Source organism: Homo sapiens, chromosome 5, assembly GCF_000001405.40.
Source record: "Homo sapiens chromosome 5, GRCh38.p14 Primary Assembly".
Classification (NCBI taxonomy): domain Eukaryota; kingdom Metazoa; phylum Chordata; class Mammalia; order Primates; family Hominidae; genus Homo; species Homo sapiens.
The window spans coordinates 149,554,297-149,582,261 of record NC_000005.10 but is presented as its reverse complement, the minus strand read 5'-3'; the positions used below and the strand labels follow the sequence as shown (position 1 = coordinate 149,582,261).

Sequence of the window (27,965 nt, the reverse complement as noted above, 5' to 3'; positions counted from 1 at the left end):
CCTTCTGCTGGGAGTGGACACAGATCTCTAAGGGGTCAGGGACCCCCAGAAGGTTAAGAACCAGTGCCTGGGCAGGCTGTCTGCTTCCCCACTGTAAGTTTCTGGCGTTCAGAAGCCGGACGTTCTGACTTCTAGTCCCAGCTTTGGCACGACTTTTCTGAGGGACCTTAGCCAAGTCACCTCACCTATGGATCACGGATTTCTGTTCTCTTTTTTCCTGGCCTTGACTGTCTATTCATAATTATATTTTGCTTGGCAAGGATTCTTTACCATTGTTTGTATTTTTCCGTTGTTATAATGTATGCATTCTTTCTAAAAGCTGTCTGAAATCCTGCACGGAAGAAGGCAGAGAGAAACAGGAACAAAGAATAATAATGTTTTTCCAGGCCGGCTAACCTCCCTGGGCCTCAGTTTCCCACCTGTAAAACGACTAGGGTAGGCCATATGGACCAGGTGGCTTACATTCTCATAAGGCTCAAGACACAAAGCTAGCTACCAAGCAAGTTGGGACCCGGGAGGTCGTCGCATCCTGCCTTTCTGTCCCACCTCCCTTTTCTGATCCTCCCAGCAGCTGTTTCCTGCACCCCTCTCCAGCCCCATCCTGCTTGACCAGGCCCCAAACGCCCAGCGGACTCACCCGCGCGCGCAAGGTGCCTGCCGGCGCTCACGCACGGAGGTCGGCCGCCCGGGCAACAGCGCAGCCGGGGCAGGAGGGGCGCGTCGCCCAGCTCCCGGCACCCGCGCCGCTCCGGGTGGCTGTGCCCACCGAGGGCGCTGGCGGGCGCGGCTATGCCCACGCAGCTGCCTGCGTGCGTGCGCCGCGAGGGGGTGGCTGGTCTCCAGCCTTTGTTAATTGTCTTTCTGGAGCCAGGTTGTTTTCTGTTCGCTGCTCCCGGAGTCAGCCCCGGCCGGCTCGGAACCGTGCCCTGGCTGGCAGCCAACCCGAAGGATTGCAGGCGGAGTTTAGCGACGTGCCGGCACCCACCCTCCCGCGGCCTCTCATTAAGCCACCTTCTCCGCGGGCTCGTCATCCAGAAAACAGGAGCCGGCATTTAGGCCACCCGGTGGGAATGCTGACCCCGGTATTACTGGATACCTTTGCTCCTGCCCGAATCACCAAACTGTAGGGCTGGGCCTCAATTTAATTCTTAGTGTTGGCTGCCGAGGAGCCCTTGGTTCTTGCCCCAGCTCTCCTGGGAGCCCTGCACAACCTTAGCCAAGTCGGCCAGTCGCTTCCATGACATGACGGTGTTGGTCCATTCTTTCACTCTACTGGGAGCAAGACACTGTTCTGGGCACAGAGAACACAACAGTTAACACGATAGACAAGGTCCTGGCCTTATTGGGCTCCTGTGCAAGACACTAAACCCACCATTGAAAGTGATAGTTGCTATGAAACGCATGTAAAGTTTCATATCGGGGCAACCAAACCTTGTTTGTAGCGTCAGGAATGGACTAGATTAGCTTTTCTCATTCTGCCACTTCTTTTATTCTTATTTTCATTTTTAGGGCTTAATTTAGGGCTTATTATTTATTATTACTGCTGGTAGTAGTCATATTGCTTACTAAGGGCCAGGCGCTATACTAAATGTTTTACTTGTACTGTCTCAATTATCTCATTCACAATTTCTCTAAGAGATAGGTATCATTATTATTATCCTCATTTTCAAGAGAGAGAAACTTAAGCTACAGAGGTGAAAATAACTTGCCCATGACACACAACTACTAAGTGACAGTGCCAGTATTCGAATTCAGACTATCTGAGGGTTCAGGCTGCTTAACCACCACTCTACACTCAGAAAAACATGAAAACCAGAAAAGTGTCTCCTCTTGAATGTGACAGATGAGGGCAACTGAAGGGGAGAGGGGTGGTATAGCTTGCAGAAGAGAAAAACCAAGGGTGCCGGGCGCGGTGGCTCACGGCTGTAATCCCAGGACTTTGGGAAGCTGAGGGGGGGGCAGATCACGAGGTCAAGAGATCGAGACCATCCTGGCCAACATAGTGAAATCCCATCTCTACCAAAAATAGAAAAATTAGCTGGGCGTGGTGGTGCACACCTGTAATCCCAGCTGCTTGGGAGGCTGAGGCAGGAGAATCACTTGAATCCTGGAGGCGGAGGTTGCAGTGAGCTGAGATCACGCCACTGAACTCCAGCCTGGTGACAGAGCGAGACTCCGTCTCGAAAAAGAAAAGAAAGAAAAAAGAAAAGCAAGGGAAGCTGAGGACTTTTCAAAAAAGTAGCCCTATGGATTAGACCTAACCTGTATGATCTTAGAGGCCACCAGGATGCAGAAAGCTGTAAGGAGATGCATTGCAATTTAAAATGTAAGGAAGAACTTTTCTAACAATTTGAGTATTTCAAAAATAACATCAGTTGGCGGGGCACGGTGGTTCACGCCTGTAATCCCTTTGGCACTTTGGGAGGCCAAGGAGGGTAGATCACTTGAGGTCAGGAGTTCGAGGCCAGCCTGGCCAACATGTTGAAACCCCGTCTCTACTAAAAATACAAAAATTAGCTGGGCATGGTGGTGGGCACCTGTAATCCCAGCTACTCAGGAGACTGAGACAGAAGAATTGCTTGAGCACTGGAGGCAGAGGTTGCAGTGAGCCAAGATTACACCACTGCACTCCAGCCTGGGCGACAGAGTGAGACTCTGTCCCAAAAATAATAATAATAATAATAATAACATCAGTTGCCTGGAGAGCATATCCTGTCACTAAAAGTAAACATTCAAGCAGAGAAGCTTATTAGGGATGCTTCAAAGAAAAGTCTGGTACAAGTTAAAAACTGATTGAGGTGATCTCTAAGGTTCTCTTCAATTTTGATATTTTGTCTATTCTAACCTACTGATAAAGAAACTAAGTGAGTCTTAGAGTGGCTAAGTGGCTTGTCCAAAGTCAGCCGGGAAGTGAAGAGCTGACCCCAAAGCTGAGACTGATTCCTAGATCAGACTTCCTGATTGTTTCCAGGTGAGGGTCTTGTGAGTGCTCAACGCCTCAGTTCACACTCCTGTAAAGTGTGTATGTGCCTGACCAGTTTTTCCTGAATGTGTGAAATCATCTGCTTTACATGTTTTACTTTGCGCTTTTTTTCAGAAGTACGTGATGGAATACTTTGCACTTGTAATGTGTGCCCATCTTCCTTGCTTGAGTATTCTGTGGTTTTAGACGTAAGTGTCAACACTCCCCGGGGCAGCTGCTGTATTATAGGATCCCAAGTATTTACTTGGCAATTTAAGGAGACCAAAATAAGCTGGATAATATTTTTCATTTGAAACTGATGTTTCTCTGATTCTATTTTAGGACTCAGTTATTTTGAGTGGCATTTCTAATGCACTGCCACTAATTCCACCATCTTTCACCCTAGTCACACAGATTTTGAAGAGCGGCAATCTACTTGTTGACTTTAGAAGGGGCATTATTTTCTCAGTCTTCTGGAGAGATGTTTGCTTTTGACTGGAAACCTCTAACAAAGGAATCCATTTGATTTCTAGAACATTTACAAAGAAATGGACATCACCTTGCCCTCGGTGACACTAATCCAAAGAAAAAAGGGTTCGCTTTCACTTCTACCTTTGACAGAGTGATCCATTTTTAAATTTTATGTATTTTGAAAAGAAAATACATGTGCCAGTTCAAAATTCAAAAGTATACTGTCAGGGTTAGCTTATTGATCTTTAGATTCCTCTTATTGCCTGCCATAATGCCTTGTGCATAGTAGGTGCTGAATAAGTGTTTGTTGAATGGGTGGATAAGTGAGTGTGAAGACATTGTAGGAGGCAAAGAGGTGGATTAGGGTGGGGCAGCAGACATTTGAGAGTCAAGAGACAACAGCCCCTTTCCTTGGTATTTCTTCTTTTGCCTGAGGTGTATGGGCCTTAAAGGGAGCCCTGACAGAACTCCTAGACCAGTTGCAAATTTGACCATGACTTTATTAAGGGATTTTTACTAAAGTAAGCAGCACTGGAGTCTTTTGGGTTGCACATTACCTAAAGACTAGTTACTAGCCAGAGTCCATGGTTGCAAGCGACAAAAGCTGATTCTGGTTAACCAAAGCAGAAAAGGAATTTCTTGGAAGAGTATTTGGGAGCTCAAAGAATCAGTAGAAAGGCTAGAGAACTGGATTAGTAATATAGACAGGCGCTGTGGGAGGCCAGGTGGCCAGATCCACAGAGGAGACCATGCCAGAGGAAAGATGTTTCTGCTGGACACTGGCAATGCCACTGGCCCTGCCATTCAGGCTCTGGTCCTGGGGACTGGATGCCATAGATCACCTAGCTGCCATTACTGTTACCGGCTACTGAATGTCACCACCACTGAAATTCACTAAAATTTACTGAATAAACTTTACACATTGCCTGCTTCTCTTCATTCTTCTTTCCAGAATCATAATCAGAGAAAACTGATACCAAGGCCTTTTGGCTTCCATGAATGAGATCCAGGGCCCTGCTTTACACAATGTCCTGTTTCCCAAATGTATAATGGTAACATGAAGGCTGGGCAGCCAGGAAAATGACAAATGTCCACATGGAAGTCATCTTCTAATAATTGGTAGGCCCCAAACTAAAAGAATTGAAGAACATAATCTGCATAATGTACTTAATACAGCAACTGAGCTGAATGCTCCAAACCTGGAGAAGTGGGTGTTATGTTTGTTTCTCAACCTTTTATAAGTTTAGCTAATCAGAGAACTTCTTTATAGCACTAATACTTTCTTCCCATACCATTTTTTTTAATCATTAGAATCACTTGCTGTTCCAGAGGTAAGCAAAAGAAGGTTGAGAAGAAAGAGGTAAGTTGTGCCAAATGTGTACTTAGCACCACAATACGCGCAATGCTATGAGTCAAGTAAATACATTTTTCTGATAAATTTTTTAAAAGCTGTCTACCTCTTTTAGAGTCTCAGTCTTGGGATCATATCTAATTTTTTATTCTACTTTGTGAAATCTACCACTCTTTCCATAGTAATAATGAAAACAGGTGCTACTTATTGAGTGCCTAATACATGTCAGTAATGTTTCATAGATTGTTTCTAATCCTGACAATCATCCTATGATAGATATTATTTGCATCTTACAGATGATGAAATTGAGGCTCAGAAAGATTAAGTAAGTTGTCCAAGATTATATAGCTCATAGGTGACTGGGATTTGAAGCCAAGTCTACTACTATACCACAGTGTTTCTCGTGTGGTTGCTTTCTGCAAAGATCTCTATAACCGTGTAAAAAGTGTATTCTACTAAGTCTAGAACGTAAGTTTTGAGAATTATTTCTTCTGTCTCCTGAGATATCAATTTTTTTTTTCAGACAGAGTCTCTCACTCTGTTGCCCAGTCTGGAGTGCAGTGGCACGATCTCGGCTCACTGCAACCTCTGCCTCCCAGGTTCAAGAGATTCTCCTGCCTTGGCCTCCCTAGTAGCTGGGATTATAGTTGTACACCACCAGGCCTGGCTAATTTTTGTATTTTTAGTAGAGATGGGTTTTCACCATGTTGGCCAGGCTGGTCTTAAACTCCTGACCTCAGGTGATCCACCTGCCTTGCCTCCCAAAGTGCTGGGATTACAGGTGTGAGCCACCATGCACGGCCCTGAGATATCAATCTGTAAGAAAGACAAGTCAAGAAATTATTGGTTGGCCGGGCGTGGTGGCTCACACATTTATCACATAACAGACAAATTTATGTTATGGTGGCTAAACGTTTATCACATAACAGACAAATTTAGTAGCCTCATTACTAATGTATAATAATTTTTATAACAAGACTGTCTGCTTTATTGAGCCTATAAGCCAGGCATTCTGCTAGATGATACTAAAAGATAAGTGTTACCATCTTCTTTCTACAAATGAGAAAACTGACATTTTGAGAGATTCAGAAGCTCACACAGGCCTCACTACCAGGAAATGACAGAACTGGGACTGAAACCTCAGAAGTATGACTTCAAAGCCTGCATTTCTTCCAGCATCTCATACCCTCTCTGGGCCTATTTTACAATTTCTTTGTTTATTTGTTTGCTTTTGAGACGGAGTCTCGCTTTGTCACTCAGGGTGGAGTGCAATGGCATGATGTTGGCTCACTGCAACTTCCGCTTCCCAGGCTCAGGAGATTCTCATGCCTAGGCATCCAGAGCAGCTGGGATTACAGGCATGTGCCACCAGGCCCAGCTAATTTTGTATTTTCAGTAGAGATGGGGTTTCACCACTTTGGCCAGGCTGGTCTGGAACTCCTGACTTCAGGTGATCTGCCCACCTCGGCCTCCCAAAGTGCTGGGATTACAGGCATGAGCCACTGTGCCTGGCCCTGTTTTACATTTTGTATTGAAAACCACCACTTAGCCAGGTGCCAACACGCCCAGCTAATTTTTTGTATTTTTTGAGGGGGGGGACGGCAGGGGGTTCACCTTGTTGCCCAGGCTAGTCTCAAACTCCCTGAGCTCAAGCAATCTGCCCAGCTACTTAGGATGCTGAGGCAGGAGAACTGCTTGAACCCGGGAGGCAGAGGTTGCAGTGAGCTGAGATTGCGTCACTGCACTCCAGCCTGGGCGACAGAGTGAGACCCTGTCTCCAAAAAAAAAAAAAAAAAAAAAAAAAAATAGTCATTTGGTTGCAGTGACAGAAATCCAACTTATCCAAAAACTACAATGTCCAACAGAAGAAAGGGCCATCTCTACTTTGTGTCTTTTCAAGAGAGGAAGCCCCTTGAAGAAGCTCTCTAGCAGACCCTTCCTCATGTCTCATTGCTTAGAATAGTATCCCACGTGCATAGCTAAACCAATCACTGGCCTAGAGGGATGAAGACCCATCACTGGGTCAGTCCCCTGAGCATAGAGCCATGTAGCCTTAACAAAACTGGGATCTTATTGGGTAAGAGGAAAGAAAAAGAGGAATGCTCTTAGGTAGGCAGCCAACGGTGTCTGCTACAACAGGGAGTTGGCAATTCTATAGGGAAATTAGGGAGCCAAAGATAAGGTGACCTTTCCTACCGAGTCTGTAAAGAAACATTTCTTACCAGGAAAATGAAAAGTTATACCAGACAGAAAGTACAGACAAGGCATAACAATATGAAACTAGCTTGTGTTTTCAGAAACTGCAGGAACTTCATTATAAGTGGATTGAATGATCTGCATGGATTGTTCAGTGACAGACAAGACTGGAGACATAAGCAGGCACCAGATCATGAGGGCATGGGTGCCATACTCAAGAATTTAAATGTAATCTGTAGGTAATGGGGGAGCCATTGAAGAATGAGAACAGCATAATATTATTTAATTCTAGAAAGATCATCTGTCTAGAGAGTGGAAAATGGATCCCAGAAGACATAAGGCTGAGGTGAGAAATCATTTAGGAAGTTGTAGTATTCGGCCAAGGGAGAGACAAAGACTCAGATTAAGGTGCAGTGATAGTGAGGTAGAAGAGGAGAAAGTAAGAGTAAAACTTTGATGGAGTATCTGTAGAATTTGGTGACCTATGGGATGTAAGGAGATGACTACCTGGGCTGACTCTGGGATTTCTGTCTTGGATAGTCAGGTGGACGATGGATGAGACAAATTTTGGGCTAGCTGATACCTGTGCTATGCAAGTGAAGGTGTCAACAGGAAGATGGATGTAAGGTTCTGAGAGAGGGAAGTTTGGACTGGCAATATAGACTAGGAGGTCACTGGCATATCCGTTGTACATGAAGCCATAAGATGAATGAGATCACTCTAGGAAAGCAGTAAATGCACGAAAAGAAGAGGGCTAAGGCCAAAAAACTGGTGAACACAACCAAGGGGCAGGCAAAGAAAGGGGAGCCGGCAAAGAATAGATGGAGCAGTCAGATAGACCTGTGAGGAGACCCAGCCTTTTAGTAAACTTCCTGATAGACAATATCCTCCAGCTTCTGTGTTTCAGTCTGGTCCCATACCACCAGATAAAATTATAGTTGAAATTCTGGATCAGTACCCTTCCAAGTATTGTCTGAATGATTGTAATATTTGATTTTTATTTATTGGTTTCTAGATGAAAGTTTCCTCTGTTAGTGCACCTCTGCTAGAAACTGCATGAGAAAAATGTCTAGTGAAAGGGAAACTCCCTCTCCTGAAACATGCATTCAGTTCCTTGGAATACAGTCTCAAGGTCTTGTCACTACAGATTTAATAATCTGCCATTGTGTGGGCAAGGATAGAAATAATTTATAAGGGTGCAAGTTGATACAACCATTTTCACTCAGATATTTCATTTCTATTAATTTATCCTATCACACAAAGTATATAAAGATATTCGCATAAGGATGTTTATTGTGACTTAAAAAACATCCAAGTGAAAAGTTAAAAATAGCCCATATAACTATCAACAGGATACTGGTTAATAAATCCCAGTATCTCACACAATGGAATACTATGCAGCCAATAAGAACAAGGTTAATCTATGAGTATTGACATGTAAGGATATCCACGTTATAGATATGATATATTGTAAATTTTAAAAAGCAGGTTATAGGCCATATATTGATTATATATGTAAATATATATATGGTGCATATATAATCTACTGAATCATTCAACAGATATTATTGAAGCAGGCACTGTTCTGGGGATACATTAGTAAACAGGACAGAAAAAGTTCCTGTCTCATTGAGCTAATGTTCTAGTGAAGGAGGTAAAGTCAATAAAAGAGTAAACACACACACACAATTTTAGATACTAATACATGCCATGAAGGAAAATAAAGCAAGGTAAGAAGTTGAAGAGTAACTGGGCATTGAGTTAGTATGGGTAAGGGGATATTTTAAATAATTTGGTCAAGAAAAGTGCTCCTATGGAGAGAACATTTTAGCAGTGACGTGAATGAAGTAAGGAAATGTATTAGAGTTCTCCAGAGAAAAAGAACTAACAAAGTGTGTATACATACACACACAGAGAGGTTTATTTTGGGGAATTGGCTAATGTGATTATGAGACTTGGAATGCTATGGTTTGGATACAGTTTGTTTGTCCCTACCAAAACTCATGTTGAAATTTGTTCCCATGTGGTGGTGTTGGGAGGTGGGGCCTAATGAGAGGTGTGTGGGATATGGAGGCTTTACCCTCGTGGGTGTCTTGGTACCATCCTCAAGGTAGTGAGTAAATTCTTACTCTGGTGGGACTGGATTAGTTCTTGCAGGAATGGATTAGTTCCTGTGAGAGTAAGTTGTTATAAAGCCAGGATGCCCCTTGGGTTTTCTCTCTTTGCATGTGTCTACTTCCGCTTTGACCTTTTCTGCCAGATTATGACCCAGCGCAGAAGTCCTTGCCAGAAGCCAGGGCCACGCCTTTGAACTACCAAGCCTGCAGAATTGTGAGCTAAATAAATTTTTTTTTAAAATAAATTACCTAGTCTTAGGTATTCTTTCATAGCAACACAAGATGGACTAAGACACTTGGTAAGTCCAAAATCTGCAGTGTAGGCCAGCAGGCTGGAGATTCAGGAAAGAGTTGTAGTTTCAGTCCAAACACAATCAGTTTGGCAGAATTCCTTCTTGCTTGGAAGAGGTCAGTCTTTGTTCTCCTAAGGCCTTTAACTGATTGGATAAGGCCTACCCACATTATGGAGGGTAATCTGCTTTACTCAAAGTCTACTGATGTAAAGGTTAATCTCATCCAAAAACACTTTCACAGAAACATCCAGAATAATGTTTGACCAACTATCAGGACACTGAGGCCCAGCCAAGTTGATACGTTAACCCTCACAAGTCCATCACTTGTCAGCTTGGTACCCATATGCATCTCCTTAAACCATGCTTCCAAATAAAGACAATAACAAGTTCATACTTCCACCTGATATTACACAGTATTCTGCATACAACTGAAAATGCATCAACCCTTTCCCCAGAAGAGAATGCAAAGTCCTTGGGTAATGTTTACTTGTCTCCTTGATAGCCTGTAACTTAAATACTACCATGTAAAGTTAACAATATTTACATACTATGATATTAAGTCAATACATCCCATGTTACATAAGAGGATAAGAGAAAGAAGAAACAAACTATATATTCTCTTCATATAGATTATCAGTTTTTCCAGCATCACTGGTTGAAAAGACTTTCTTTTCCTCCATTGAATTGCTTTGATACTTTGGTTGCAGATCAATTGACCATATAAAGGTGGTTCTATTTCTGGACTCTCTATTCAGTTCAAGGTATCAATTTATCTATTCCTATCCCAGTATTACACTTTCTTGATTATAGTAGCTTTATATAATAGAAAGTCTTGAAGCCAGGTATTGTAAGACCTCCAAGTTTGTTCTTATTTTCCAGGGTTGTTTTGGCTATGCTAGGTCTTTTGCACTTTCATATAATTTTAAAAATCAGCTTGTCAACTTCTTTTTTTTTTTTTTTTTTTTTGAGACAGGGTCTCACTCTGTCACCCAGACTGAGTGCAGTGGAGAGATCACAGCTCACTGCAGCCTCGATCTCTTGGGCTCAAGCAATCCTCCCACCTCAGTCTCCTAAGTAGCATGCACCACCATACCCAGCTAACTTTTTATTTTTTGTAAAGACAGGGTTTTGCTATGTTGCCCAAGCTGGTCTCAAACTCCTGGGCTCAAGTAGTGCTCCTGCTTCGGTCTCCCAGAGTGTTAGGTTTACAGGCATGCACCACTGTGCCTGGCCCACGTTGTCAATTTCTATTTTTAAATAGCCTACTGTGATTTTGATTAGGATTGAATTTAATCTGTGGATCAATTTGGTGATAAATGACACCTTAACACTTTTTTGAGTCTTCCAATCCATAAACGTGCACTGTATCCCCATTTACGTAGGTCTTCTTTAATTTCTCTCAGCAAAGTTTTATAGTTTTCAGTGTAGAGGTCATACTCAACTTTTGTTGATTCCCTAAAATTTTATTTTTGTATGTAATCCCAGCTACTCAGGGGGCTGAGGCACAAGAATTGCTTGAACCTAGGAGGCAGAGGTTGCAGTGAGCCGAGGTCGTGCCACTGCATGCCAGCCTGGGTGACAGAGAGAGACTCTGTCTCAAAACGAAGCAAAACAAAACAAAACAAAACTTGGCCGGACGCGGTGGCTCATGCCTGTAATCCCAGCCCTTTGGGATGCTGAGGTGGGTGGATCACCTGAGATCAGGAGTTCCAGACCAGCCTGACCAACATGGTGAAACCCCATCTCTACTAAATACAAAAAATTAGCTGGGCGTGGTGGCGCATGCCTGCAATCCCAGCTACTTGGGAGGCTGAGGCAGGAGAATCACTTGAACCTGGGAGGCAGAGGTTGCAGTGAGGCAAGATTGTGCTACTGCACTCCAGCCTGGGCAACAAGAGTGAAACTCCATCTCAAAAAAATCAAAAACAAAACAAAATCTAGCCAATTAAACATCTTTATTTTTGTGTACAATGTAAGTTAAACTTTTTTTTTTTTTGAGATGGAGTCTTGCTCTGTCACCCAGGCTGGAGTGCACTGGTGTGATCTGGGCTCACTGCAACCTCCGCCTCCCGGGTTCAAGCGATTCTTCTGCCTCAGCCTCCCAAGTAGCTGGGACTACAGGTGCACACCACCACGCCCAGCTAATTTTTGTAATTTTAGTAGAGACGGGGTTTCACCATATTGGCCAGGGTGGTCTTGAACTCCTGACCTCGTGATCCGCCCACCTCTGCCTCCCAAAGTATTGGGATTACAGGTGTGAGCCACCGCGCCTGGCCAAACTTTTTTTTTTTTTTTGAGGCGGAGTTTCGCACTTGTTGTCCAGGCTTGAGTGCAATGGCAGGATCTCGGCTCACTGCAACCTCCGCCTCCTGGGTTCAAGCGATTCTCCTGCCTCAACCTCCTGAGTAGCTGTGATTACAGGTGCCCACCACCATGCCCATCTAATTTTGTATTTTTTTTAGTAGAGATGGGGTTTCACCATGTTGGTCAGCCTGGTCTCAAACTCCTGACCTCAGGTGATCCACCCACCTCGGCCTCCCAAAGTGCTGGGATTACAGGTGTGAGCCACTGCACCCGGTAATATAAGTTAAACTTTAATTTTAATTTTCCAATTGTTTGTTGCTAGTATAGAGACATATAACTAATTTAGATATATTGACCTTGTACCTGGAAACCTTGCTAAATTCATTTATTAGCTTTAGTAGGTGTTTTAAAAATTCATGATTTCCTATGTACAAAATCATATCATCCGTGACTAGAGAAAATTTCACTTCATTCTGTCTAATTTTTATGCTTTGTGTATCTTTTCTTGCATTATTGTACTGGCTGGGAATTACTACTGCATACACATTAGAATGAATAAACATGAAAAATACTAAAAACATCCAATATAAAACAGTACTCCTACTTTGGAAAAAAAGTTTGGCAGTTTCTAATAAAGTTAAACATATGGTCAGGTGCAGTGGCTCACACCTGAAATCCCAGCACTTTGGGAGGTCGAGGCGGGCACATCATCTGAGGTCAGGAGTTGGAGACCAGCCTGGCAAACATAGTGAAACCCTCGCTCAACTAAAAATACAAAAATTAGCCGGGCGTGGTGGTGCGCACCTGTAATCCCAGCTGCTCAGGTAGGAGGCTGAGGCCAGAGAATCGCTTGAACCTGGGAGGCGGAGGTTGCAGTGAGCCAAGACCGAGCCACTGCACTCCAGCCCGGGTGACAGAGCAAGACTCCATCTCAAAATAAATAAATAAGGCCGGGTGTGGTGGCTCACACCTGTAATCCCAGCACTGTGGGAGGCCAAGGTGGGCAGATCACCTGAGGTCAGGAGTTCAAGACCATCTTGGCCAAAATAATGTAACCCTATCTCTACTAAAAATACAAATATTAGTCGGGCGTGGTGACAGGTGCCTGTAGTCCCAGCTACTGGGGAGGCTGAGGCAGGAGAATCGCTTGAACCTGGGAGGCAGAGGTTGCAGTGAGCAGAGATCGCACTGCTGCATTCCAGCCTGGGTCAACAGAGTAAGACCTCCATCTCAAAAATAAAAATAAATAAATAAATAAATAAATAAAAATAAACAGAAACTTCTCTTACTAGGACCCAGCAATTCAACTAGTTGGTATTTGACCAAAATAAATGAAAACATGTGCCCACAGAAAGTCACGTAGAAGAATGTATATATTTTCTTTATTTATAATAGCCAAAATTTTAAAACCTATATATCCACTTACAGTATAAAGGATAAACTGTGTCACATCCAAACAACAAAGTACTACTTTACAAAAAAAAGAAACAAACTACTAATGTATACAACAACATGAATGTATCTCACATATATTAGGCTGAGCAAAAGAAGCTGGACACAAAGAGCACATACTATATGATTTCATACACATAAATATACATACACATTTTTTAGAATAGGGAAAACAAATCTATGATAAAAAAAAATCAGAACAGTTGTTATCTCTGAATGGGGAAGTGACTGACTAGGAAAAGACTTATAGGAACTTTCTGGAGTGATGGTAATGTACTGTATCTTTTTTTTTTTTTTTTTTTTTGAGATGGAGTCTTGCTCTGTTGCCCAGAGTGGAGTGTAATGGCACAATCTCAGGTCACTGCAACCTCTGCCTCCCAGGTGCCAGCGATTCTCCCTGCCTCAGCCTCCCAAGTAACTGAGATTATAGGCACATGCTGCCATGCCCAGCTAATTTTTGTATTTTTGGTAGAGACGGGGGTTTCACCATGTTGGCCAGGCTGGTCTTGAACTCCTGACCTCAGGCCTCTCAAAATGCTGGGATTACAGGCATCAGTCACCACGCGGCCAATGTATTGTATCTTGATAGGGGTGTGGGATACAAGGGTACATGCATTTGTTAAAGCTCAGAGAATTGCACACCTAACATTGTATGTTTCTCAGTATGTAAATTTTACCTCAAAACATTATAAATAAATATTGAATTTTAATTAGGTTTGCTTTTTCGGAGGTACAGGTTAGCAATTATGAATCTATCTTCTGTACATTTTAGGCTTAATCAAGTATATTGGCCAGGCACGGTGGCTCATGCCTATGATCACAGCACTTTGGGAGGCCAAGGCAGGAGTACTCTTTGAGCACAGGAGTTCAAGACCAACCTAGGCAATATGGCGAAACCCTGTCTCTACAAAATAAACAAATAAAAAAATTAGCCAGGCGTGGTGGTGCACACCTGTAGTCCCAGCTACTCAGGAGCCTGAGGTGGGAGGATAACTGGAACCATAGATAGATAGATAGAGGATAATAAGAATCAGGTTTCTGACTGTTAAGGAAAAAAAAAAGTACGTGTGCAAAAGAAGAACACTAGAATGCACCTTGTGAAGTTGGACTGGAATTAGATGTATATAAACTGATGAGAGAGAGAAAGAGAGGAAGAGATATCTGTTTGCTAAGAGGTCCTAGAAGTAATGACAAACCAATAGAGATAAACACATTTGGTACCCAGATCTTGGTTTCTAAAATACTACCACTCTCCACTAAAAGGAACCAGGGATCCTCAAAGAAATGGCTGATTCCATGGCTAAGGTAGAGAAAGTACAAGAAGGGCCTGAAACAATTTATGCCGAAAAGAAAGTGTCAAAGAATTAAGGGGACATGTTAAAAGAACATAGGAGCCCAAAGGACACAGGAGTCAGCTTGAAGGGACTGTCACTGACCAAATCTGGATAATTTAACCACGAAAATAAACGTTAACAGGTTATAATCCATTAAGTAAAATAATAATCCATAAGTTCATACTGATATAAATAACTGGATGTATAAAGAAAGAAATGAAGAAGAATGTAAAATTCAACTAATAAATATAGAAGGAGTGGTATATTTAGAAAAACCTTAACGGATGCCACAGTGAAAGTTTAGTGTGGAACAGTATATTTATGTAGTCTCAAAATACCTTGCCACACATTACTTATTAACAAACAAAGGGGAAATGGTAACTTTGAAGTGGAATAACTTTGTGGACACCACCTTAACCAAAAGATAAAAGCTAATGTTATCAATACTGAGATATGCTGGGTTGGCATAATGTAATTTTTGATATGATGCAAAGGAAAGGACACAATGTTATTTCAGAGGTATTCCTGCCAAAAAGTATAACCTGAATCTCATCACGTACAAACAAAATAAATGCAAATTAAAGGACGTTTTACAGAAAAACTGGTTTGTAGTTTTCAAAAATGTCAAGATGAAGAAACATAAAAGCTGAAAATTCCAGATTGAAGGAAATTAAGATGACAAGAAATAATACAATGTTTGATCCTGAATTGAATCCTGGACTGGTAAAAAATATAAATCATTATTGAGACAATCAATAAAATCTGAATATGGACTATGGATTAGACAATAGTATTGTATCAACATTAAATTCCTTGATTTTGATAAATTAATACAGTTATAAAGAAAACGTCTTGTTATTGGGAAATATACACTGAAGTATTTAATGAATAAGTGACATGATTATATATATAATTAGAAGAGATATATGTACACACATATATACATATAAAATTGAAAGTGGGGAGTAGAATGACATGTAGTTCTCAGTGAGATAACGGTTCTGTTGGATTGACAGAGAAAGCTATAACCATTAACAAGTGAATAAACTGGTCCTTGTCACACACTGGAAGGACAGTGAACTTGAAATTTCATGTCCTGGCTCCTCCACTTACTATCTTTTGTAACTTTGGACAAGTTAACTAGCCTGTCTTAATACTTAGTTTCCTCATTTGTGTGAGCTGGGTATAAAAATCTGGGGTGATAACGATACCCCCAACATAAGGTTTTTTGTTGTTGTTGTTGTTGTTGTTTGGTTGGTTTTTTTGGGGGGGAGGATGGGGGGGTTGAGACAGTCTCGCTCTGTCACCCAGGCTGGAGTTCAGTGGCACAATCTTGGCTCACTGCAACTTCTGCCTCCCAGGCTCAAGTGAATTCTCCTGCCTCAGCCTCCCGAGTAGCTGGGATTACAGGTGCCTGCTACCATGACCAGCTAATTTTTGTATTTTTAGTAGAGACAGGGTTTCATCATGTTGGCCAGGCTGGTCTTGAACCCCTGACCTCAGGTGATCCACCCACCTCAGCCTCCCAAAGTGCTGGGATTACAGGTGTGAACCACCTCGCCTGTCCCACATAGGGTTTTTGAAGGTTCAATGAGTCTAAACTTCTTCCAAAGCCATAGATAAAATAGAGTTTCTGGGCCAGGCACGGTGGTGCAGGCCTGTAATCCCAGCACTTTGGGCGGCCAAGGCGGGTGGATCACCTGAGGTCAGGAGTTCGTGATGAGCCTAACTAACATGGTGAAACATTGTCTCTACTAAATATAAAAAAGCCAGGCGTGGTGGCACATGCCTGTAATCCAAGCTACTTGGCAGGCTGAGACAGGTGAATTGCTTGTACCTGGGAGGCGGAGGTTGCAGTGAGCAGAGATCGCACCATTGCACTCTAGCCTGGGCAACAAGAGGGAAACTCTGTCTCACAAAAAAAAAAAAAAAAAAAAAAAAAAAAAAAAAAATTAGAGTTTCTGACATTACAAAGCTAAGACCAGATTGTGGAATCACATGTCCTCACCAAGTCATGATGACCATGAAAGGCCCTGTCTGATCAGTAGTATAGTCTAGATCTAGGCTGTAAACCTCATAAGGGCTGGGGCTATCTTTTTTGTTCTTCATTGCAGTCCTGGCACTTAGTGCAGTGACTGGTCCAAAGTGGTATTCAATAAATAAGCCCAGTGCTTACAGCCTTAGAGACATGCCTCATGGCTATCATTGCTGGTGGCCACCTAAAAGGCTAGGTATATTTCAGTGTCTCTTGGTAGCCAGTATGCTTTTGCCCATTCATAAATATATGTTGTATAGTAGATAGTAGCACTGATCTGGAAATCTGGAAAACTGGCTCTGCCATTATTTTGACTTTGTCCCCTGCTGCCTATGCCTGTCACTCATTAAGCCACAAAATATTTACTAAATACTTATTACCCAGTGTGCTAATGCTGAGGACACAATGCAGATATAACTATAACAGGACTTATTCTCTGCTGTCATGGCTCATCGGTCCACTGGGAGAAACCAGTTTATAGCAATTATAATACAGTGAGATGGCACTATACTAGAAGGAAGAACAGGGTGCTTTGGGAGTAAATAAAAGGCCCCGTTTTTCTTATCCTGCATACATGAATTGATGTGCCCTAATTTGGTCCTTTTCATTTACCTTGTTCTGAAAGCACCACAGGTTTGCTCAATCTCCTAACACTTGCCTGGCTCCTCAAATGTTATTTTGGCCTCCTTGACTGTAGCTCCTTGCTGGGTATTTAACATCTGACTGTCCAGATTCAGCTTTCTGGCTGTGCCTGATGCTAGGCCACAGAAGGCTGGCTAGAATAACAATTACTGATCATATCCTCAAGATGGCAGCATTGTATAATCATTAAGATCACGATGTGCCATGGGTTCATTAACATACCTTGCTGTGCCATACCATGGGATCTACTAAGAGGATGTCTGGGAGTTGTTTTGTTTTTTTGAGAGAGTTTCACTCTTGTTGCCCAGGCTGGAGTGCAATGGCGCGATCTCGGTTCACGGCAACCTCCGCCTCCTGGGTTCAGGCGATTCTCCTGCTTCAGCCTCTTGAGTAGCTGGGATTACAGGCATGCACCACCACGCCCAGCTAACTTTGTATTTTTAGTAGAGACGGGGTTTCTCCATGTTGGTCAGGCTGGCCTCGAACTCCTGGCCTCAGGTGATCCACCTGCCTTGGCCTCCCAAAGTGCTGGAATTACAGGCGGGAGCCACCGCGCCCGGCCGAGGATGTCTGTTTTTATATCTTCCCTTAATCTTGAAAGAGATGAGCAGTTTCCTTCCCAGGGTGTTTTGTAGTCCTGAGATGCATAAACGGGAGAAATGAAAAAGCAGGTTCTTTGGAGTAAGAAAAATTTGAGTTCAAGTACAAGATGCAACCTTGAGTCATTTAGTGCACCTGGGCAAGTTAAGTAAGATATCTGGGCTTAAGTTGCCCTATCTAAAATTTAAAACAATGAAATTATTTTCCCAATGAAATTTTTTTATGATATAAGATAACATACGTAAGACTAATATTGTATAAAGCACTGTATAAATATTAAAGCACTTTGGGAGGCTGAGGCAGATGGATTGCTTGAGGACAGGAGTTCAAGACCAGCCTGGTCAACACAGCGAAACCCTGTCCATCTCTACTAAAAATATAAAAATTAGCCAGGCGTGTTGGTGCATGTTTACAATTTCAGCAACTCAGGAGGCTGAGGCATAAGAATTGCTTGAATCCAGGAGGCGAAGGCTGCAGTGAGCCAAGATCGCGCCACTGCACTCCAGGCTGGCCGACAGAGTGACTCTGTCTCAAAAAAAAAAAAAAAAAAAAAAAAAATTTAAACTAATTATTACCTATGCGTGGGAAAATCAATCAGTGTAGATGAAAACTCAAACTCAATATCTTCACGTTGATTAGAAGAAAGGTTCTAAAACCTTTAGAATAATCTAGAAATTTTTATCTGTTTCCTATGACACATCTGAAAGTCTACAGTGATGACCTTGTCAAAAGGAATCTTCTACACGAAGATACCAGAAGTGGTCGTGTCATAGTTGTTACACTTTCTTATTTTTGGCTTTGGACAATAATTGTAAAGTTTCTATTTCAGCTGAAAGCTTGTCTCCCTCCCCCAGGAAGGTTAGAGAAAGTCACCTTTGGCTTGAATTGCCTAATAATAACAGCAGCAGAGTATATTTCTAAGAGGTTTATGGCCTAAACAAAGTGCTCTCACATATCCTATATCAACTAGGGCAGAAGCTATGGCAATCAATGATACAGTGTAGGACACAAAAAAATACAGGCTAAGAAGAATGACAGAACTTGAAATCCTAAGCCACAAATCATCAAAACATGGCTTGCATATAGGTTAGAGGGGGCTAGAAGGTAAGTAGAAAGAGTCTTAAGTCTATCATTTGCCTGGCCTACAGAACACACACAAGGAAGCAAGATTTAGGAGCTCAGATCAGGTTCGGAGTCTGACAGGAAGCAAGAAGGGTGTAGAAAGGCTGGTGGGTAGCTAAGGTTTAAATAGGTCAATTGGCTTTAGAATCTGACAGGGAAGAGGCAGAAGAAATGAACACTGATGAAGCAGGAATAAGCAGCATTGTCTAGGAAGGATGGCTGGTGGGGACAGGAAGACAGAGGTGAGTAACCGGGATCAGACAGCTGGATCAAGGAACTGGACAGCACACCAGGAACTGCTGGGTTTGAGATTCAGACACGATGAAGATGGGTGCTGACTCTCAAAACTGTGGGAATTCAGGCACAACTGGAAGTCAGACCCTGATGGAACACCAAGCGGCAGAATTGAGATTTATTGAGCTGCAGATGAACTATGTAAATGAGCCAAGGGGGGAGGGGGATGATTTAAGTCAAATGTAAGCCTACTTAGGTAATCTCTGCTACTTTACTCCCCATTCAGATCTAGAACAGGCAGAAAGCTCTGGACAGGACATGTTCCCTGTAAAAGTAAACAGACATACATCATAGAACAGTGGTGTGGAATGTAAGGAATCCTTCTCAAAAAGCTGGTGTTCTTGGCCGGGCGCGGTGGCTCACGCCTGTAATCCCAGCGCTTTGGGAGGCCGAGGCGGGCGGATCACGAGGTCAGGAGATCAAGACCATCCTGGCTAACACGGTGAAACCCTGTCTCTACTAAAAATACAAAAAGTTAGCCGGGTGTGGTAGCCGGGTGGGCCCTGTAGTCTCAGCTACTCGGGAGGTTGAGGCAGGAGGATAGCGTGAACCCGGGAGCTTGCAGTGAGCCGAGATCGCGCCACTGCACTCCAGCCTGGGCGACAGAGCGAGACTCCGTCTCAAAAATAAATAAATAAATAAATAAAAATAATAAAAATAAAAGCTGGTGTTCTTGGGTAAGCTCTGGCTTCCTCACACCTACGATGGATACAATAGCTGCAGTTACCTAGCTCTTATACTGGCCAGGAAAAACACAAGTCAGTGAATCACAAAATACTCTATGAACTATACAGTGCCATATAAATACAAACTGACTTTTTATGCTTTGTGGATTAGGGCCCTAAAACCCAAAGTTCTTTTTTTGCCCAAAGTTCTTTTTTTCCCTACTCAGCGCCCTGGCTCTGTTCACTGCAGAAAGTCTTTTTGCAGTGGTGTTGGGCTTAGCCAGGCTGAAATGGAGCAGTTAGTTCATTTTCTGTGATAAGTATCAGTGCTTCCTGGCATCAGCATGGAGAGTTAAGAGTTAACAGGATGTGTTCTTAGGACCAGCTCTCCTCAGGAATGGCAACTCAAGCATCTTCCAAATTTAGTCTCACAAAGAAGAGTTAGATTACTATAGTGAGTAATAATGAGTCACGAGGAGCACAGTTTCATGCCCTTGCTAATGAACAATGCAGAGGAAGAGAACAGGGGCTGAGAAAAGAAAGGGACATAGAAATTGCAGAAACTCCAAAATACTATAAAATTCTTCCAAATAAAAATAGCTAACACAAATATTCCAAAATGCCACATATGACAGCACATTTCCAGGAATTAATGGTTGTTGTGATTAAAATAGAAAATTTAAAATACAATTTGATTATCTAAATATTGCCGGGACAGACTGATTAGAATAAGGTAATGGGAGTGGGATAGGAAACACAGGCGAAATGCAGCATTTAGTCTTTTTTTGTGCTTCTCAAGTCCTGGCCTTATCAGTAATGTTTTCAATGAGTAGATGGAACATTGATGACTTGAATTTCCTCCCTGTCAGGACATATCTCTGGCATTGCATATATTACACTGCAGAGTGTTCATTGCAGACAAACGAGTTAAAGCCTCCGGCATTATTTCACAGTAACTCTTTGCCAAGGATTAGACTACGTTGAAGAGTAAAAGTCATTTTGTGTTTTCCCTTTATGAAAATCTATGCAAGGACTTTTCAGACTAAAAGAGATTTACAGAGGTCACTTAAGTAATGCCCCTCCCCCACCCCCAGGGAAAGCTATACTGAAAAGTAAGGTATAATTATTGCCTTTTTTTTTTTTTTTTTTTTGAGACAGAGTCTTGCTCTGTTGCCCAGGCTGTAGTGTAGTGGCGTGATCTCGGCTCACTGCAACCTCTGCCTCCCAGGTTCAAGCAATTCTCCTGCCTCAGCCTCCCGAGTAGCTGGGACTACAGGTGCTTGCCACCACGCCCAGCAAATTTTTGTATTTTTAGTAGAGAAGGGGTTTCACCATGTTGGCCAGTCTGGTCTCGAACTCCTGACCTTGTGATCCACCTGCTTTGGCCTCCCAAAGTGCTGGGATTACAGGCGTGAGCCACTGCACCTGGCCAGTATCTTCTAATTTCTAACTACCTATCTATTGGTATGTTTTGCGGTTAGAGAATCTGATTTTCCTAACATTTAAGTATTAAAGAGCACAAGTCAAGATCTGCCTGTCAGAATTTTACATTTTATCTGAATTTTAAGAAGCTGTAAAAGACAAAGAGTATGTTAGTTTCTTCTTTCTACTTCAAAATATAGGAGTCATCATCAATAAATGGCACAATTTTTTTTTTTCTTTGAAAGTACAAACAGGGTTTTACCACATTGCCCAGGCTGGTCTCAAACTCCTAAGCTCAAGTCATCTGCCCCCTCGCCCTCCAAAGTGTTGGGATTACAGGCATGAGCCACCGCACCCAACCAATAGCACAATATTTTTAAAGCAATCTTAAAATCTGACATCTTTTAAAAGATTACAACATTGAAGTCCAGGAAAATATTTAAGGTAGAGTCACAATTAAAATCAGATTTCCTGACTAAGGTCAGGATAACATTTTCTGACATAATTTAACCTGTCCTTAAATACCCAACTAAAGGGATAATTTGGTTTCTCTTCTCCCACCCCAAAATAATTTTTAAGAATAATATAGGCCAGGTGTGGTGGCTCACGCCTGTAATTCCAGCACTTTGAGAGGCAGAGGTGGGCGGATCACCTGAGGTCGGGAGTTCGAGACCAGCCTGACCATCATGGAGAACCTCGTCTCTACTAAAAATACAAAATTAGTCGGGCGTGGTGGCGCATGCTTATAATCCCAACTACTTGGGAGGCTGAGGCAGGTGAATCACTTGAACCTGGGAAGCAGAAGCTGTGGTGAGCCGAGATCATGCCATTGCACTCCAGCCTGGGCAACAAGAGTGAAAATCTGTCTCAAAACAACAAACAAAAAAACAAACAAAAAAACATGAGATTACTTTTTCTCATACTTGGCTCACTGTAGTTTTGATTCCGAAGACATCTATTCTGTTTTCCAGGAAACTCATTCTCTTTACCCCACCCCCTGCTGCTTGCTTCCACCGAATCTAAGAATCTATAGAACTCAATTGCTTCACTAATGGGCAACAAATGTGTCTTGTTAGCTATGTCATAAAACAGACATTTTTAATAGCATGAGCACATCCTTGCAAACAACAGACTTGCAAAATTCTTGAGATTTTGAAATTGGGGGGAGAGAGAGAATAGGGGAATTGCACAATTAAATGTATTGAGTTTTAGAGCAATATGCTGGTCAGAAAAGAAAACCTAACAATCTCTTTTAAGTCTGTAAAGATAAATGAAAAGATTGAATAGTCCATGAATACGGGTTTAATCACCACAAACTATATCAAAACATAATTGGAAATTGTTGTTTATGATACAAGGAATTTTAAGAAGAGTAGCATTTCTAGAAATATATCCTAAACCACTTAATTTTAGATGCCAGCAAAGATTTAGCTACAGGAATATTCATTACAGCATAGTTTGTTTATATTAGCAAAAGTTTGGAAACAACCAGAATACTCAACGAGGATTGGTTAGATGTTGTTCCATCAATATGATTCATTATTAACATATGGACATTAAAAGTGATATTTCAGAAAATTAGTTATATGGAAACAGGTCTCCGACAAATCACTACATGAAAAACACAGATCTCAAAACAAAATGTATACCATGACTAGTTTTTGCACATTTGTTCCCCGCCAAGACGGAGTCTTGTTCTGTCGCCCAGGCTGGAGTGCAGTGGTGTGATCTTGGCTCACTACAACCTCTGCCTCCTGGGTTCAAGCAATTCTCCTGCCTCAGCCACCCGAGTAGCTGGGATTACAGGCATGTGCCACCATGTCTGGCTAATTTTTGTGTTCTTGGTAGAGATAGGGTTTTACCACGTTGGCCAGGCTGGTCTCGAACTCTTGACCTCATGATCTGCCCACCTCGGCCTCCCAAAGTGCTGGGATTACAGGCGTGAGCCACTGTGCCTGGCCAGTTTTTGCAAATTTTAAGAAATGAAAAATAAAATACGTACTTATATTTTTTGGGACAAGGTCTCGCTCTGTTGCCTGGGCTAGAATGCAGTAGTGTGATATGCAGATATACTGATACACATACACATATATACATATGCATAGAAAAATGCTGGAATTTTATACAGCAAAATGTTAACATTTGGTGATTACCTCTAAGAGATTTTTGTTTTTTTCCGATTTATCTGAATTTTAGAAATTTTTCAATGTCACATTTATAAGGAAAGGAACAGTAAATATTTTATACATATAAAAATATATATACACACACACACACACACACACACACACACACACACACACACACACATATATATATGGTTTTTTAAAGATCATTGGGTTGTCTGGTTGGGCACAGTGGCTCACGCCTGTAATCCCAGCACTTTAGGAGGCCGAGGAGGGAGGATCACTTGAGCCCAGGTATTCAAGACCAGTCAGAACAATATGGTGAGATCCCCTTCTCTAGTTCTTTCTTTCTTATTTTTTTGGTGAGAGGGGGACTGAGTCTCGCTCTGTCGCCCAGGCTGGAGTGCAGTGGCACAATCTCAGCTCACTGCAACCTTTGCCTCCTGGGTTCAAGCCATTTTCCTGCCTCAGCCTCCTGAGTAGCTGGGATTATAGGCGCAAGCCACCACGCCCAGCTAATTTTTGTATTTTTAGTAGAGACAGGATTTCACCATGTTGGTCAGGCTGGTCTCGAACTCCTGACCTCGTGATCCGCCCGCCTCAGCCTCCCAAAGTGCTGGGATTGCATGGCGTAAGCCATGGTGCCCGGTCAGTCCCTGTCTCTATTTCTAAGAACGTAAAAAAAGAAAGAAAGAAGAAAAAAGGGCCGAGCACAGTGGCTCATGCTTGTAATCCCAGCACTTTGGGAGGCCAAGTCAGGTGGATCACCTGAGGTCAGGAGTTTGAGACCAGCCTAACATGGCAAAACCCCGTCTCTGCCCATCTCTACTAAAAATATGATAATTAGCCAGTCGTGGTGGCAGGCACCTGTAATCCCAGCTACTTGGGAGGCAGAGGCAGGAGAATTGCTTGAACCCAGGAGACAGAGGTTGCAGTGGGCCAAGATCGTGCCATTGCACTCCAGCCTGGGCGACAGAGTGAGACTCTGTCTCAAAAAAAAAAAAAAAAAATTATTGGGTAAACATATAGAACTTACCAATCTTTAGAATCTAGAAGCTATATGAATCAAAAGAATAAATATATTCAAAAAATAACATTAATTGAAATAAATGTATGGTTAATTAGGCCATAAAAAGTAAGCAATACATGCAGTCTCAAATGGGTTTGAAGTTGCTAACTGTGGAAGCTAAAGCAACTCCTCCTGGATGGGAGGCTAAAGCAACTCCCTGTTAGGCCAGGTGCAGTGGCACATGCCTGTGGTCCCATTTACTTGGGAGGCTAAGGCAGAGGCTTGCTTGAGCCTAGGAGTTTAACGCTGCAGTGAGCCATGATCACACTACTGCACTCCAGCATGGGCAACAGAAGGAGACCCTGTCCCAAATAAATAAATAAATAAACAAACAAACAAACAAACAAAGCAACTCCATCTTGGAAACTAAGCCACCATTTTGGCTTAACTGCAGTTCCAGGAAGTCCTTGAAAATTCCCAGTTTATCTATGTTCCTTGTGTAACAGCAGATATTTACTGTAAATCCTACTCTTAGGTCAAACAACTTTGATGTTATCCACTTCAATTGTCCTACAGGTCATATCTGAACCATTCCTTTCCCTGTGGTATATAAGTCCTGGGTCTCGGGCGTAATGGCATGGGTATCCACCATCTTGGTTTCTGTTCCTTGAACTCAATGGCTTCTGTTCGAAGTCCCTATTAAATGTTTCTTTCTTAAATACTGTATTTGTCAGCTTCTTCCTTCAGCATCCCAACTTCCTCAGACTTTGGGGTACTTTTGCACAGACCTAGCCACCGCAAAACACTGTCATAGATGCAGCAATCCACTTTCACAAAACCCCATGGACAATGCAGAGGGGGAGAACAGGGACTGATTAAAGAAAGGGACAGAAATGGCATCACTATCCAAGACTGAAAAACAGGCTGAATGGATTATCACTCTGACCCAACTGCACATTTCTAATGTCTTCATGTTTTCAATTACTCCATGAATTCCCTTATCTGATGCTGATTATGCACAGGACTGTGTAAGAGTTAAACAACACCTGACACTGGTGACTCACACCTGTAATCCGAGCATTTTGGGAGGCTGAAGCAGGTGGATAATCTGAGGTCAGGAGTTTGAGACCAGCCTGGTCAACACGGAGAAACTCCATCTCTACTAAAAATACAAAATTACGGCCAGGTGCAGTGGCTCATACCTGTAATCCCAGCACTTTGGGAGGCCGAGGCAGGTGGATCACCTGAGATCAGAGGTTTGAAACCAGCCTGGTCAACATGGTGAAACCCCGTCTCTACTAAAAATACAAAATTAGCTGGGTGTGGTGGCACATGCCTGTAATCCCAGCTACTTGGGAGGCTGAGACAGGAGAATCGCTCGAACCTGGGAGGCGAAGGTTGCAGTGAGGCAAAATTGCACCATTGCACTCCAGGTTGGACAACAAGAGCGAGACTCCATCTCAAAATAAATAAATAAATAAATAAATAAATAAATAAATACAAAAACTAGCTGGGCATGGTGGCATGTGCCTGTAATCCCAGCCACTCAAGAGGCTGAGGCAGGAGAATCACTTGCACCCGGGAGGCGGAGGTTGCAGTGAGCTGAGATCGCGCCACTGTACTCCAGCCTGGGCGACAGAGTGAGACTCCATCTCAAAAATAAATAATAAATAAAATAAACAACACTTGGGACACTGACGTTTCTAAGGCATTCCATTTTTCTATTTACTTGCACCAAACAATTCTAGAGATTGGCAGGCTACCCTTCTGTTTTTAGCATCCATCTAGACTTCTTGTGCTTGTCTCTATCATTTCACTCAAAGCACATTCTGGATACCAGTGACCGTTGCTTGAGTAAACACTGTGGCTTAAAAAAATGGTTTTTGTTTTTATTATTTTAAAACATTTTTGTAGTGATGTGGTCTATGTTGCTCAGGCTGGTCTTGAACTCCTGGCCTCAAGCGATCCTCCTATCTCAGCCTCCCAAAGTGCAGGGATTATAGGCATGAGCCATCACACCCAGCCAAGAAAAAAAAAAGTTTTAAAATTCATCTTGAATTCCCTACGAACACAGAAGTAATCCCTGGGACATGATTGTCCTAATTTGTGTTCTACTCTTTCCTTTTTCTCTTTCTTTTGGTAGTAGTTGTGGCTCTAGTCCTGTCACTGCCACTAAGATCTCTATGATTTTGGGCAAGCCACTTTGTCTTACTGGGGCACAAATGATATGTGTGAAAGTACTCTAAATTGCAGGCTGGGTACAGTGGTTCTTGCCTGTCATCCTAGCGTTTTGGGAGGATGAGGCGTCAGGATCACTTGAGTCCAGGAGTTCAAGACCAGCCTGGGCAACAAGGCAAGACACTATTTCTACAAAAAGTTAAAAAAAAAAAAAAAATTAGCCAGGCATGGTGGTGCCTGCCTATAGTCCTAGCTACTGGGGAAGCTTGAGGCAGGGGGATTGCTTGAGCCCAGGAGGTCTAGACTATAGTGAGCTATGGTGGTGCCATTGTACTCCAGCCTGGGTGACAGAGTGAGACTTTGACTCATAAGTAAATTGCAAAGCATTAAAAAATACAATTATTATTATTGAACTAGGTGATCTCTGTATTTCCCTCAAGGTCTAAAATTTTTATTTTTATTCTACACTTTTGATATTTTTAGTGAATTCATCTGATCTAGAAGCCAGAAATTGCTCTTTGAAGACTCCTTTCTTTCTTTCTTTTTTTTTTTTTTTTTGAGACAGAGTCTCACTCTGTAGCCCAGGGTGGAGTGCAATGGCACGATCTCAGCTCACTGCAACTTCCGCCTCTCGGGTTCCAGCGATTCTCCTGCCTCAGCCTCCTGAGTAGCTGGGACTACAGGCGCCTGCCACCACGCCCGGCTAATTTTTGTACTTTTTAGTATAGACGGGGTTTCACCATATTGGCCAGCTGGTCTCGAACTCCTGACCTTGTGATCCGCCTGCCTTGGCCTCCCAAAGTGCTGGGATTACAGGCGTGAGCCACCGTGCCTGGCCTAAAAGACTCCTTTCATTACACCAAAGCTGCTGCTGATTCAATAAGTACAGAATGATTTGTGACTTTAACAGCAACACCAAAAACAGGTTATTCTTCAATCTTTTAGGCTAAAATTACTGCAAATGATACATGACTTTAAGAAGAAGGCTGAGTCATAGCCAACACCTGAGGACTTCATTTTCTATGTAAAAAAAAAAAAAAACAATTTTGCCATTCTTAAATCCAATAAATTTAAATCTTAAGAAACTAAAATCACATTTGAAAAGGCTAGACCCACTCACATCTCATTTTTGTGCATTTTGCTGGGCACTGTCAGTGTTGGAATGGTGACTATAGCAGGCAGGAAACAAAGGAGGACTCATACCTTATATACAAAATTATAGAATCTCAGGGTTAGAAGGGTTTCCAGAAGTCATTTAGACCAGTAGAATTTAATGGGCTTACACAAGTTCTAAAAAAAAGGCGAGGAGGATTAGACATACAAGTACCTATCATTCATTCATTCATTCATTCATTTATTGAGACAAGGTCTCACTCTGTTGCTCAGGCTGGA

General features: G+C 42.5%; 1 protein-coding gene across 6 annotated transcripts in view, besides 2 other annotated features; it reads right to left on the bottom strand.

The window, feature by feature from the left end:
• The window catches only part of ARHGEF37 (Rho guanine nucleotide exchange factor 37), an 83,344-nt gene that overhangs the window by 52,707 nt on the left and 2,672 nt on the right, over positions 1-27,965 (bottom strand). For 4 of the 6 annotated variants that reach the window (XM_006714784.4, NM_001001669.3, XM_017009460.2 and 1 more), the window contains exon 1: positions 638-764. The exons of the other annotated variants lie outside the window; for them this stretch is intronic. The gene's annotated coding sequence lies outside the window, so the exon portion shown is untranslated. Of the gene's footprint in view, positions 1-637; positions 765-27,965 lie in introns of those variants that run through there. 6 annotated transcript variants of the gene reach the window in all.
• Positions 714-893: a silencer, noted in NCBI's record as "silent region_16498". NCBI's record gives its function as "represses an Ori minimal core promoter by ATAC-STARR-seq in GM12878 lymphoblastoid cells {active_cell/tissue: GM12878}" and the evidence as "EXISTENCE:reporter gene assay evidence [ECO:0000049][PMID:35858748]".
• Positions 974-1,103: an enhancer, noted in NCBI's record as "active region_23378". NCBI's record gives its function as "activates an Ori minimal core promoter by ATAC-STARR-seq in GM12878 lymphoblastoid cells {active_cell/tissue: GM12878}" and the evidence as "EXISTENCE:reporter gene assay evidence [ECO:0000049][PMID:35858748]".